Below are 12488 nucleotides of genomic sequence, written 5' to 3' on the forward strand. Positions count from 1 at the left end.
TGAGTGTCTTAGACACTCAAAGCAGGAGGAAGCATTATGGCAGATGTTTGAGCCCCAGAGATGTCCATGAGCACAGCATAGAGCTCAGAGCCTTCTTTATTATTTGCTTCACGACAGAGCAAAGGACTGCAGCAGGTTGACTGATATAAAAGTTTTACCATGTCTCACAGCAGGCCTTTGCTCAAGTTTCCAGTAAGGATATTGTATCATTTCTTGCCTGCAGTACTTGTAAATCCACTTACACTGCCTGCTGTTGAGTCATTTGTTTCGTCTTGAGTAGCATGTCATCCTTGTTCCTAGAAGATAGTGAGTTTAGAGACAGTAGCCAAGCAACAGCAGAGCAGCCTCAACCAAAACGATTTTCCATTTTGGTGGGATGAATTGAAACACAAGCATCTTCTATCCAGGGGAGATTTGGGGATCATAAAGAATCAATCTGAGCTGGTACCACCATATTGGCTGCTGCATTTTCTAGAGTTGCCGTAACTAGTCTCACAAGCTGGGAGGCTTTACACAACAGACATGTATTGTCTCATAGTTCTGGATGCTAGAAATCTGGAATCAAGGCTCCAGGGGAGAAGCTGCTCCATGGTTTTCTCTTAGCTTCTGGTGTTGCCAGCAATCCCTGGTGTTCCTTGGCCCGCAGGCGGATCACTCCCATCTCTGCCTCCATTGTCACACGGCATTTTCCCAGTGTGCCTGACTCTGTGTTTCTTCTCATAAGAACATCGGTCATATTGGATTACAGGCCCGTGCTACTCCATTATGACCTCATCTTAACTTAAACAATTACATCTGCAGTGATCCTGTTTGCAAATAAGGTCACATTCTGAGGTTCCAGGAATTAGAACATAGACATATCTTTTGGGAACAAAATTCCAGTGATAACAGTTTCGGAGACAGACTAGTCCTGGAGTTTGTAAGGTGAGCCAGGACCAAGGTGCCAGGATTCTCATTTTGTAAGGTCCAGGAACAAAGTGATGTTAATAGAAAGAACATGTTTTTGTTTGTTTATTTGTTTTTGAGACAGTCTCACTCCATCACCCAGGCTGGAATGCAGTGGTACAATCTCGGCTCACTGCCGCTGCCATCTCCCAGGTTCAAGCGATTCTCCTGCCTCAGCCTCCTAAGTAGCTGGAATTACAGGTGTGTCCCACCATGCCCAGCTAATTTTTGTATATTTGTGTGTGTGTGTGTGTGTATATATATACACACACACATACATACATATATATACATACATATATATATACACACACACACATATATATATATATAAAATATATATTTCTTTTAGTAGAGACTGGGTTTCACCATGTTGCCCAGGCTGGTCTCGAACTCCTGCGCTCAAGTGATCCACCTGTCTTGGACTCCCTAAGTGGTGGGACTACAGGCACAAACCACCACGCCCAGACAGAAGGAATATGTTTCCTTCCAGTCTCACTTGACTGGCTGCTTCCCTAGATAACAACAGAGGATGTCTGTTGCAGTTCTCATTGCTGGGGAGTCTAAACTGGAATAAAACACCCACTATCTCCATCAGGCTTGCACTAGAGCCCAGCTCTAGCTGGAGAGAAAGAAGCTAACCCGCACAGACACAGGACTGTAGGCAGGGAGCATCCGGGGGTATTTGGGTCCTGGCTCTGATGTGCCTAAGGCCAACTTCTCTCTGGCCATGCTGGCGTGCATGAGCTCACTAATCTTCCTTTTTGCCTTCCATTTTCTCCAATCCTGACTTAGCAAAGGTTGGGCAAAAGAGACTCTGTGTGAGTTCGAGCAAAGCCTGAGATGCTGGATTTTCCAAGATACGAGAAGGGGCTGGGGGCTGGGTGAACTGGTGGTGGAGGAGGGAAGGATTAATTTCCCAAGGAGGGGAAGGGGCCAGGACATCAGGCCCCGGGGACTTTGAAGAGAGGGTCGTGGGTAGGAGGTAGATCAAGTGGAGTGACACAAAGGTCAGGAAAGAGGAAGTGTCCACACTGTCCTTCGACAGACTTGAGTCTATGGGACTTCCTCCCTGCACGGTACAAGGAAATGAGTAAGTGAGATAATGTTGTAACTTCTGGCCCTCTGACATTGCACTGCCCCGATGTCACAGTTGGAAACTGTACCTGCCCCCATCCTTGTCTGGGGTGTGTTTGGTCTGGGGAGGGCTGGTGAAGCAAGAGGTACTCAGAAAAAGGACAGAAATTGCTTCCTATTATCTGGGCATTTGGAGGTGAAGGGGTCACAGCTCTGGCAAAGATGGGGTTGAAAGGGCCCGGACTCCAGGGAGGGGCAGCTCTGCATGGCCTGATTCCTGCACCCCACCTTTGCCCCCTCACACCTCCTCTCATCTCCCGTTTTTGAAGAGGAGGACCCTGTCACATCTGGACAATTCTGCAAGAACTCTGTAGAACTGACTTCACTGTGAACCAGGCTCCAGAAGTCAACAGAAACAAAAATGCTCACATTTAATCACGATGCTCCCTGGCATACACAGAAGACTCTGAAAACTTCTGAATTTGGGAAATCCTTTGGCACCTTGGGGCACATTGGGAACATAAGCCATCAGTGCTGGTGTGTGTGTGTGTGCGCGCACACGCGCATGTGTGTGCATCTTCTACCATGCCTCCTACAAATTTGACCTGGGCCCAGGGCCATGTTCGGTGGTTTTTAAGAACCGAGGCTCCCAGAAGCAGTATTGGGCAGCTAGAGTGGCCCCAGGATCTATATCAAACTCTACCTGTTTCTGAACCAAATTTCTTCTAGAATTTTATTCCATAAATCTGAATTATGGTGTCAGACTCCTAGCATACACTAAAGGAACTCTCTGCCTTGCATTAAATAACAGGAGTTACCCCTGGAGGTAACTCCTAGCCCTGGCTCTTTAGAGAACAGATGCCGAATAGGCATTAGGGGATGTGATGGATGTGCTAACTTTCAAAAAAAAAAAAAAAAAAAGGCCTGAGCTGAGTGCTCAGAGATTCACAAAAAGCTGACAGCATCTCTCTGTTCCATTGGAAGCTGGGTGATCCTTTCTACTCTTTCCTGAGAAAGGCAGTTGGGCAGGAAAAAGCTGTATCTCTGTCCTCACTGAGAGGGTTTCCCAGTCTGAGGGTGAAGGATCAGGAGAGGGAGACCTGACGGGTCGATGTGGGGCATCATCCACTTGAGTGAGAACCAGAGGGATCCCGTCATTGCCCAGGGCAGATGCTCCATTTTGGGGGGCATCATTCATTCTTTCCTGTTCTCCCTGCATTCCTCTGGCTCCTGCCCAGGAGAGGTGGCCGCTGGCAAGAGAGCTTGGTGGAGGTGGGAGGTGGGAGGTGGGGGGTGGGGGGTGGGGAGTTCTTGAGCCAGGACCTAGCGCATAGTCTCCAGCCTGCTGATGGCTGTCTTGGATGCTTCAAAGGGGAGAAGATCCTAGATGTGGGAAACATTGGTGGGCGTTCTGCTGGGGCATCTGTAGCCTCTGAGAAGGCTACCAGTCTCTCCTAAGCTTACGCCGTCACACCCTGGGCACTTGTTGAATGACTTTACTTAGCTTACAGCCTCTGGTTCCTGTTGGGAAACTTAGGGCTTGCCACAGTGTTCATTTTCCTTTGCGGGCAACTCCGTTCCTGGCACTTATCATATTACCCACTGTACTCCCCGCTTAGAGCTGTGTCAAGGTTCTGAGAATCTATCCCTTGGCTTGGAAGGGGTCATCTCTCTGGCCAGATCATTTCCTGATAGGTCCTGAGGCACCACAACACATAGGAGGCTTGTCCTCTCTCTGGGGTTCACTGCCTTGCTCCTTCTCCAGGTCAATATGTGACCTTGGACCGGTTGCTTGAGTCCCCTGGTCATTCAGAAACAATTGGGTTTCCCTGGCTTTGGAGCCTGGCAGCCTGGCTTTGAGAACCGGGCTTTAACTTGTCACATGACTATGGCCAAGTTCCTGGGGCTCTCCAAGCTTCACTTCCTCTGTAAAAAGGGCAATAATATAATACCTGTCTTATTGGGTTTTGTCCATGTTAGATGAGACATTGGGTACAAAGCACTTGGTCCCGTGCCTGGCACATTTACTGCACTTAATGTATGATAGTTTTCTTATTATTCTAATAAACAATATGGCTTTGGGAGTATAGTTCTGCCACATTGCAGTGGCCAGAGTGAAGGTGGTGAGTGCCTTCTGGGGCCCTGGGAGTCAAGGTTATCCGCATGCCCTTTCTTGCTTGCTCCTCAGTGTGGCTGCCTCTATGTCCACACCATGCAGATGCAACAGGTAGTTTGAACCTCTGAGGCCCACAGTGGGATGGGGAGGCAGGGACATCACTTATGGGGTGGGAAGTCACCCATTCCCCAGGAAATGGCCCCAGCTGCCTTTTCCATGACTCCTCTTGAAACCCTGTGGAGGCCACATTCGTGTTGGGGCGGTCTTTCCCATGAGGATATGTTCAGATGCCGAGGCATTTTGAAAAGCCCTCCATAGAGTTTCCTTTCATAACACATGATCATCCCCTTGGGCTTCTGGTTTTTTTTCTTTCAGGACCTTATTTTCAGGCAAGTGGCCTTTGACCTCTAAGGCTGTCCTTTCCTAGCTACCGAATCCAGCATTCAAAGTGATGGAAATATGTATATATAGTAATAGTAAAATATCAGCACTTAATGGCCTGATAAGAATGTCACTGCAATGCTGAGTTTGGACCAACATTTGCCTGCTCCTGCCATTGAGCCCGGGCTCCCCTCCAGAGCTGAGCTGCTGCAAGGGATCTGAGTAACTAGGGCTGTGTCAGAGTGGCGATGACAGCCACCACATGCTAAGGAAGAGATCCCCAAGGACAAGGAGAATCCCACGTGGAGCTACTTGCTTCTTTGTCAGTCTTGTTTTTCTTATTTCACAACCTTCTAAAACACAATCTCTCAACCTCTATTGTTAGCTTGCATTTTTCAATCATGAGCACAGCTTTACCTGGCTCCATGCTTTGATTGACTCTACCTGCCAACACTGCAACAACAGGGAAAGGGACACCGGCCTCATACCATTAGATGGTGTGTAGCCTGGGCATGAGGATAATTAAAAACTCCCAAGGGGATTTTAACATGTAACACAGTTTGGAAACCATTGATGTAAGATCTTCTTACTCAACATGTGCTCCAAGGAGCTGTTGTATCAGCTTATCAGAAATGTAGATCAGGCCGCACTTGGACCTGTAGAATCAGAATCTGCATTTTATCAGATTCCGACATTATTTGTATGAACATTAGCTTTTGAGAAGTGTTGCTTTAAGAGACTAAGGGGGTCAATCTACCTCACTTTGCAGCTCTGTGTTCCTTAGTCATTGGCTAAAATATCAGCCCCCCTGCAATGAGCCATCCTCCCTTGTATAGTCAGTGATGGCCTGTGAACCTTTAGCCAACTGGAAGTGGGAGGGGACACAGTCCACAAAACACTATCCTGACTTTTGACACCAACTACAAGTCAAGGGGTTCCCCAAACCACCCTGAGTTGTGATAATTCGCTGGGAGATCTGACAGAACTCACTGAAGGTTGTTATACTCATGGTTGTGATCTCTTATAGGGAGGGAATACAGATTAAAATCAGCCAAAGGAAGAAGCACACAGCACAGAGTCCAGGACAGTGCCTGACATGGAGCCCCTACGGTCCTCTCCCGTGGAGTCACGGACAGCGCCACTCTCCTGGCATTGATGTGTGACAACACACAGGGAGTGTTCCCCACCAGGGAAGCCTTGGTGTCCAGGGTCTTTACTGTGGCTCTGTCACATGAGCACAGCTGACTGCCCATGCGGCCGATCTGTTCCCAGACTCTCCACCGCTACACATCACTCACAGTCCCTGCTCTAAATCACACACCATGACCCAATGTCCCCGGGCAAATGAAAACACCTCTAGCAGGCAGGACGTTCCAAAGCCTTAGAGATCACCTCTCAGAAGCTGAGGGCAGAAGCCAGACCTCTTTTTGGGCAGGGTTAAATTCTTTATTACTGTTTTTGAAAAAACTCCCAAATTGAGTTTTTCCTCTTCACTTACAGCAGCATAACAACAATCATCAATGCAGAAGACTTCTGCGAGCAAAGGTGTGGGGGAAAACCCCAAGCAGTGGACACTAGCTGGTGTCCTCCAATTTGATTCTGATGCTGTCTACTGGGAGATAGTGTCAGATCCTCAAGCCTAAACCCTCCTTCTCCCAGTCAGAGGGCTGGCCTTTGGAACTTCTGACCAATCCACTTCAAGTTGAGGTTCCAACCACTCCGCTCTTTGGGTTTGGTTGATTTGCTAGAGTGGCTCACAGAACTCAGGGAAACACAGCTACCAGTTTATTGCGAAGGACATTTTAAAGGATAAAAGTAGGCAGATAAAGAGATGCATAGGGCGAGGTGTGGAAAGGTCCCTAGTGCAGGAGCTTCTGTCCATGTGGAGCGGGGGTGCACCACCCTCTCAGTACATGAATGAGTTCTCCTTCACCTGCCTATCAGCCTCTACATGTTCAGCTCCCCAACCCAGTCCTCTTGGGTTTTTATGGAAGCTTCAAGACACCCACATTCTTTCCCCAGAGTATAGGGCAAGACCTTCTCTGGGGAGGGTTTTAAGACCCACAGTCAGAAAGGTGGGGTGGGGTCAAGATTAGAGTCCTGCCTTGACGGGCAGGTGAAAGGGGTAGGGGGAGTAGGTGAGAAAAATTCTGTTTATTTTTTCTTTTTTTTTTTGAGACGGAGTTTCACTCTTGTTGCCCAGGGTGGAGTGCAATGGCACAATCTCAGCTCACTGCAACCTCCGCCTCCCAGGTTTAAGCGATTCTCCTGCCTCAGCCTCCCGAGTAGCTGGGATTACAGGCGTGTGCCACCATGCCTGGCTAATTTTGTATTTTTAATAGAGACAGGGTTTCTCCATGTTGGTCAGGCTGGTCTCAAACTCCTGACCTCAGGTGATCCACTTGCCTCAGCCTCCCAAAGTGCTGGGATCACAGGTGTGAGCCACTGCATCTGGCCAAAAGATTCTGTTTTTGAGGCCTGCCTCTGAGGTCTAACACACTCAACATTATAACAAGACTGTAGTAAGGGCTATGGGAGTTATGAGCCAGGAACTGTGGATGAAAACCTATCACAGATATGCATATATATATATATATATATATATGCATATCTATAATAACTCCACAACTACACACTGCCTTATTGCTCAGTTCTTCTCTCCATGTCTCTGACCCACCCTTGCCCCCTTCCTCCATCCTTTTCTCCATTGCATACCCATCCACTGTGCCCTTTGGAATGCTCACACCATGAACTGCAAACTCTCGTGTGGCTTCAGCCTCTTCTCTGAAAGTTCCTCTCACCTATTACTTTCTCTGGAACCTGCCATCCCTGCCACCTTCTCAAAAAAGGCCTTTTATTCTCTTCATTCCACAAAGCTCAGTGTCAAAACATGGGGTTTACACTGGAAGCTGAGGTCACATCAGTAGCCGGGATCAGGGTCGCCCTAGCTGCCCAATGCAGCTCCCAGGCCTCCTGTAAAACCTTGACCTTTGAGGTCATGACAGCCCTCTCCTGCTATGCTCATAGCTGACCACTGAACTCCTGGACACTCCCTCCCCCAAGTTCACAGAGAATGTGGGCACATGCCTTACAGTCTTCCCTTGATCCAAACTACTGCCTTCATCTTGAGTGACAGCAGCATCTTTTGGATGTCTTGGCCTGTCTAGCTTTATTTTTTTGTGTTCTGCCATCAAGTTGCTACTTCTGTTGCCATCGTGCCTGTCAGCGCAGTGCAGGCTGTGGTGAAATCCCACGAACTCAGGCATCACACTGACCGGGTCTGAGTCCTGTCTCAGTTGTCAGCTAGTTGTGCAATGAAGGGAAAGGGACCTACACTTTCCAAGCCTCAATTCACTCATCTATGGCATGGTGACAATAATGGAGGTTGATTTAAAGTCCTTTGTAAGAATTAAGAGTTATAATAGACATAAAGTGCTGTATCTGGTATACCTAGAAAACATTCCATAAAAGTTAGTAATTGTTGGTCATGTAATGATGACTCTCTAGGCTAGGATTTCAGCTTCATTGCATGCACATGGTGCACTCACAGGGCGTGACCTCTCTCTGTCTCAGTAACCTCATCTGAGGACCGGGATAATCATACCGCTTCAAAGGGATGTCATAAAGATTAAATAATATGTGTAAGGCTGCTTGCATTTAGCTGCATTCAACAAATATTTCTGTATCTTTCTCCTCATTTCTCCTTACTTTCTTGCTTATTATCTGCTCTAGGTATAGATTTCAGAGAACTAAGCTTGTTACAATCCTTCATAAAATAACCAGGTTGGTTAGGGCATTTCCAAGAGTCAATACTGTTTAGTGACTATTCTCTGTTTAATCTATTTTGATTGTCCAGGGTCATCTTTTGCTATGTCATAGGTTGTTGGCTTCTTCTAGAGAAGTGAGACGATGGACAAGTTCCAAGTGAGTGAGGCGACTGGTCAGGATATTCCGCTGAAAAACTCATGTCAGTTCTAATTCGTGATTGTAATTCAATCACAGCCTGAGAACAGTAGGACTGTAGTTCAAATGCTCTGTTCCCTTTTTTTTTTCCCAGAGGATAATTTTTTTTTTTCTTTGAGATGGAGTCTTGCTCTGTCACTAGGCTGGAGTGCAGTGGCGTGATCTCGGCTCACTGCAACCTCCGCCTCCTGGGTTCAAGCAATTCTCCTGCCTCAGCCTCCCAAGTAGCTGGGACTACAGGCACATGCCACCACGCCCAGATAATTTTCGTATTTTTAGTAGAGACGGGGTTTCCCCTTGTTGGCCAGGGTGGTCTTGATCTCTTGACCTCATGATCCGCCCACCTCGGCCTCCCAAAGTGCTGGGATTACAGGCGTGAGCCACCGCGCCCGGCCTCTAGAGGATAATTTTTAAATGTGCTTTTGCATTTGGAAAATGTGATTGGCATTTTTTTCTAATTTTCTAATATGATACGCTGTCGGATGCTATGGATTACTTAAACCCTCTGGCTACCTAGAAAGATCTTTAAGTGGTTCTCAACAAGCTTCATACGCAATGTAAATTGTATTATCTCTCAGGATGTGTGAGAACATCTGTTTTTCTTCTAATGCAGTAAACATATAAGGGTCTCTTGGGATATCTTTTAAATAGACTTAATACAACATTCAGGAATGATAACAAAATATAATCACAGTTGTAAGGGAATGTGAGCATTTCATATTAATAACATTGGAACCTTATGTTTAATACAGTGTTAAAAGTTGACAAACATGTAGGAGTCAGAAAATTCAATTAAAATTATCACAGTAATATGAATTTAGCCACATCCTGTGTTAGTTATGAAATCCATTTAACACCACAAACAGTAATATTTTTAGCCAGTTTATTCAAAAGGAAAACAGGAACTAAACCACTTTCATGCAATATATACTCTGTTAATGTGGTCAGGCTAATTTTGCTGGGGGAAGGAACTTAACTTTTGAATATTTGAATGCCCAGTCATTTAATCTGAATATCCTATTTCCTTGCATGTTGCAAAATTTTTGTCAATAAAAGGCAGAAAAAGAAATCTCTTCTCCATGCTCATCCCTAAGAGAATGGGTTGTCTGTACCCTGAGAGCATTTTATGGAGGGGACAACCACTTTTCTAATTTTCCTTCCCACTTCTCTGTGGGCACAAATGCTCTTTGGTTGAAAGAGTTGTAATTCAGTCCCAAGATGAGGTGTGGTTACTGCATCCCTAACCTATATCTGGGGACCCCACAGCCACACACATGGGGGAAATGGAGCTTGTCATTCAGTTCTCCAGCCATTGCACAGGGTTCATGGACTCTTCGTTGATCCCACCCCACGCTTCTTCTCTCTGCTAGCCGAACACACTTCTCTCTTCTTTATCAGGAGGCCATAGGAGAAGGGCATTCATTTTTAATACACATACATCTGCATCAAGTCTAATTTTGCCATGTCTCAATCCAACTGTCAAATGGGTTGTTTGGGGGCTATGGTGCTTATCAAACATTTACTCAAGAATAGCCAAAATTAGCCAAGCAAGGAGAACTTCAGCAACGTTCCCAAATGGCCCCAACCAAGTACTGTAAGACTGAGGATAGCTAAAGGGTCTTGAGAGGGACTTCTCAGGCAGTGGCCCCGACATTTATCTGTTTTTTTAAGTGAGAAATCTGAGTACCATTCTTGACTCCTCTTCCTTACCCCCAACCCCTCACTAAGCCTTGTGCTACTATTTAGTAAACAGACCCTCAATGCACAAACTTCTGTCTAAGGCCATGGCCACCACCCTAGTCTAATCCACCATCTCTTCTCTGGAACAGACCCCAGCTGCTCTCCCTGTCTCTGTGCTGGTCTCTCAATCCATGCTCCACACTGCAGCCAGAGTGCTCTACAATGCAAATCCATTTGTGAGACTCCTCCTCTTAAAATCCTCAAGTGGCTTCTCTTTGCCCCCAGGATCATTTTGAAACTCCTTAATGGAAGAGGCATGGCCCTTTGGGATGTGGTTCCCCAACCCCTCCCACATCATCTTTTCAATCAGATTTCCCACTAAATGGAAATTTTTTCAGGTCCTCAACTTTATGGTGACTTTCTCTTGCTCAGGATCTTTGAACATACTGTTTCTTCTTTCCTTTTGTATTTGCCAAGACAACACTTCCTCTGGTAAGATTTTCCTGACATCCTCTATAAAAAAAGATTGAGATAGTTGACTACCCAAAATGTTTCCCATTCATTCCAAGCTCTATTCAAGGCAGTAAAGTGCCCGGCTGACAGATTGCATTCCTCATCTTTTCTGAAGCTAGCAATGGCCATGCAACAGCATTCTGGCCAATAAGATAGAAGTCGAAGTTGAAGGGTGGGATTTCCAAGAAAGCTCGTTGAAGACATAATTCCTCATTTCACTTCTTACTCTTTCTCTTTCCTGCTTCCTAAAATGCGGTGCAGATGGCAGACACTTCAAAGCTGTCTCAGGCAATCAGGTGATGTTAAGGCAGAAACCAGCTTTATGATGGGTAGAACAGGAAGAAAGAAGGCACCTATGTTCTTGTTCACCTTGAACCACACCAGCACTGCCTTGCCTACCCCTGGAATTCCTTTAATGAGAGGCAAATGAGAGCTTACGTGTTTAAGCCATTGCTATTTTATTTTTTTTTGTTTATATGCAAAAGAACTTAATCCTAACTGATATTAACACTAACTGGGTCTATTGCTTGGTACCAAGCCAATGCATGACACATGGTATATATGCTCAGTAAGTATTTGTTGAATGAGTGAGGCAATGAAAGAACATAGAGGATATATATAACAGTCCTCCTGCCCAGATGTCATCTGATCCTCTTTAGGATCTGGGCCCATAAAACTGTATCTGATATAGTTTGAATATTTGTTCCCTACAAATCTCATGTTGACATTTTATCCCTAATATTGGAGGCAGGGCCTAGTAGGAGGTGTTTTGGTCATAGTGATAAATGGCTTGGTGCCGTTCTCACAGTAACGAGTGAGTTTTTATTCTAGTGGTTCCTGCAAGAACTGATTGTTAAAAGAGCTTGGATCCTTCCACCCCTCTCTCACTCTTGCTTCCTCTCTCTCACCTTGTAATCTCTACAAGCTCTTCACCTCCCCTTCTCCTTTTGCCATAAGTGGAAGATTTCTGAGGCCTCACCAGAAGCAGATGTTGGTTCCATGCTTCTTGTACAGCCTGCAGAACCATGAGCCAAATCAACTTCTTTTCTTTATAATTATCCAGTCTCAGGTATTCCTTTATAGCAACACAAATGGACTAAGACAGTTTCTAATGCTATGGTTCCTTTAGTAGGTCAGTGTAAAACCCTGGATCACTCCTGTAACAAATTACTTGGAACTCTTCTCACCATACATATTTAAAAATAGTTGCCATGTTGAAAATCCTATAAGATCATATTTTATTTCAAATCCAACAACTCATTGCTAAGGAGATACAAGAAGCAGAAAATACAGAGAGACTAATGTGTTGATGATTTTTGTGAGGGACATAAGGTCTGTGTCTAGATTCATTTTTTTGCATGTGGATGTCCAGTTGTTCCAGCACCATTTGTTGAAAAGACTATCTTTGCTCCACTGTATTGCTTTTTCTCCTTTGTCATAGATATCTGGTCACCTTACCTTAGAGTCACAGATGAATGGTCCTATTACTTAACTACTGAAAATACAGGCCAAAGCAAACAGAGGAATAAGGGATATATAATAAAGTATTTGTGTACTTGACTTGGCTCTAAAGGAAGCATTGCGTGTCTGTGTAAAAAGAATGGGTGAGAGTTTTCCACCATTCAATATTTCTAATCTTTCTGAAATACAAAGCCAGGACATCCTCTAATCCATACATTCCATAGTTTGGTTAATATAAATTCCTTTATTAAATCCTTATTAAATAAAGTTATTTATGTTTCTATGAAACTCATTTTAACTCCTAAGTGAAAAATACTACTGAGCTAACTAAACATCAAACATTTTTAATTTT

The 12488-nt window shown here is 45.2% G+C and overlaps 1 protein-coding gene across 1 annotated transcript in view; it reads left to right on the top strand.

The window, feature by feature from the left end:
* Nucleotides 2203–12488, top strand: part of ALOX5AP (arachidonate 5-lipoxygenase activating protein) — a 50942-nt gene continuing 40656 nt past the window's right edge. Inside the window, exon 1 of the mRNA NM_001204406.2 lies at nucleotides 2203–2559. Within this exon, the coding sequence (NP_001191335.1) occupies nucleotides 2444–2559 (116 nt within the window). The 5' untranslated portion in view covers nucleotides 2203–2443. The remainder of the gene's footprint in view (nucleotides 2560–12488) is intronic.

Source organism: Homo sapiens, chromosome 13 (assembly GCF_000001405.40).
Source record: "Homo sapiens chromosome 13, GRCh38.p14 Primary Assembly".
NCBI lineage: Eukaryota > Metazoa > Chordata > Mammalia > Primates > Hominidae > Homo > Homo sapiens.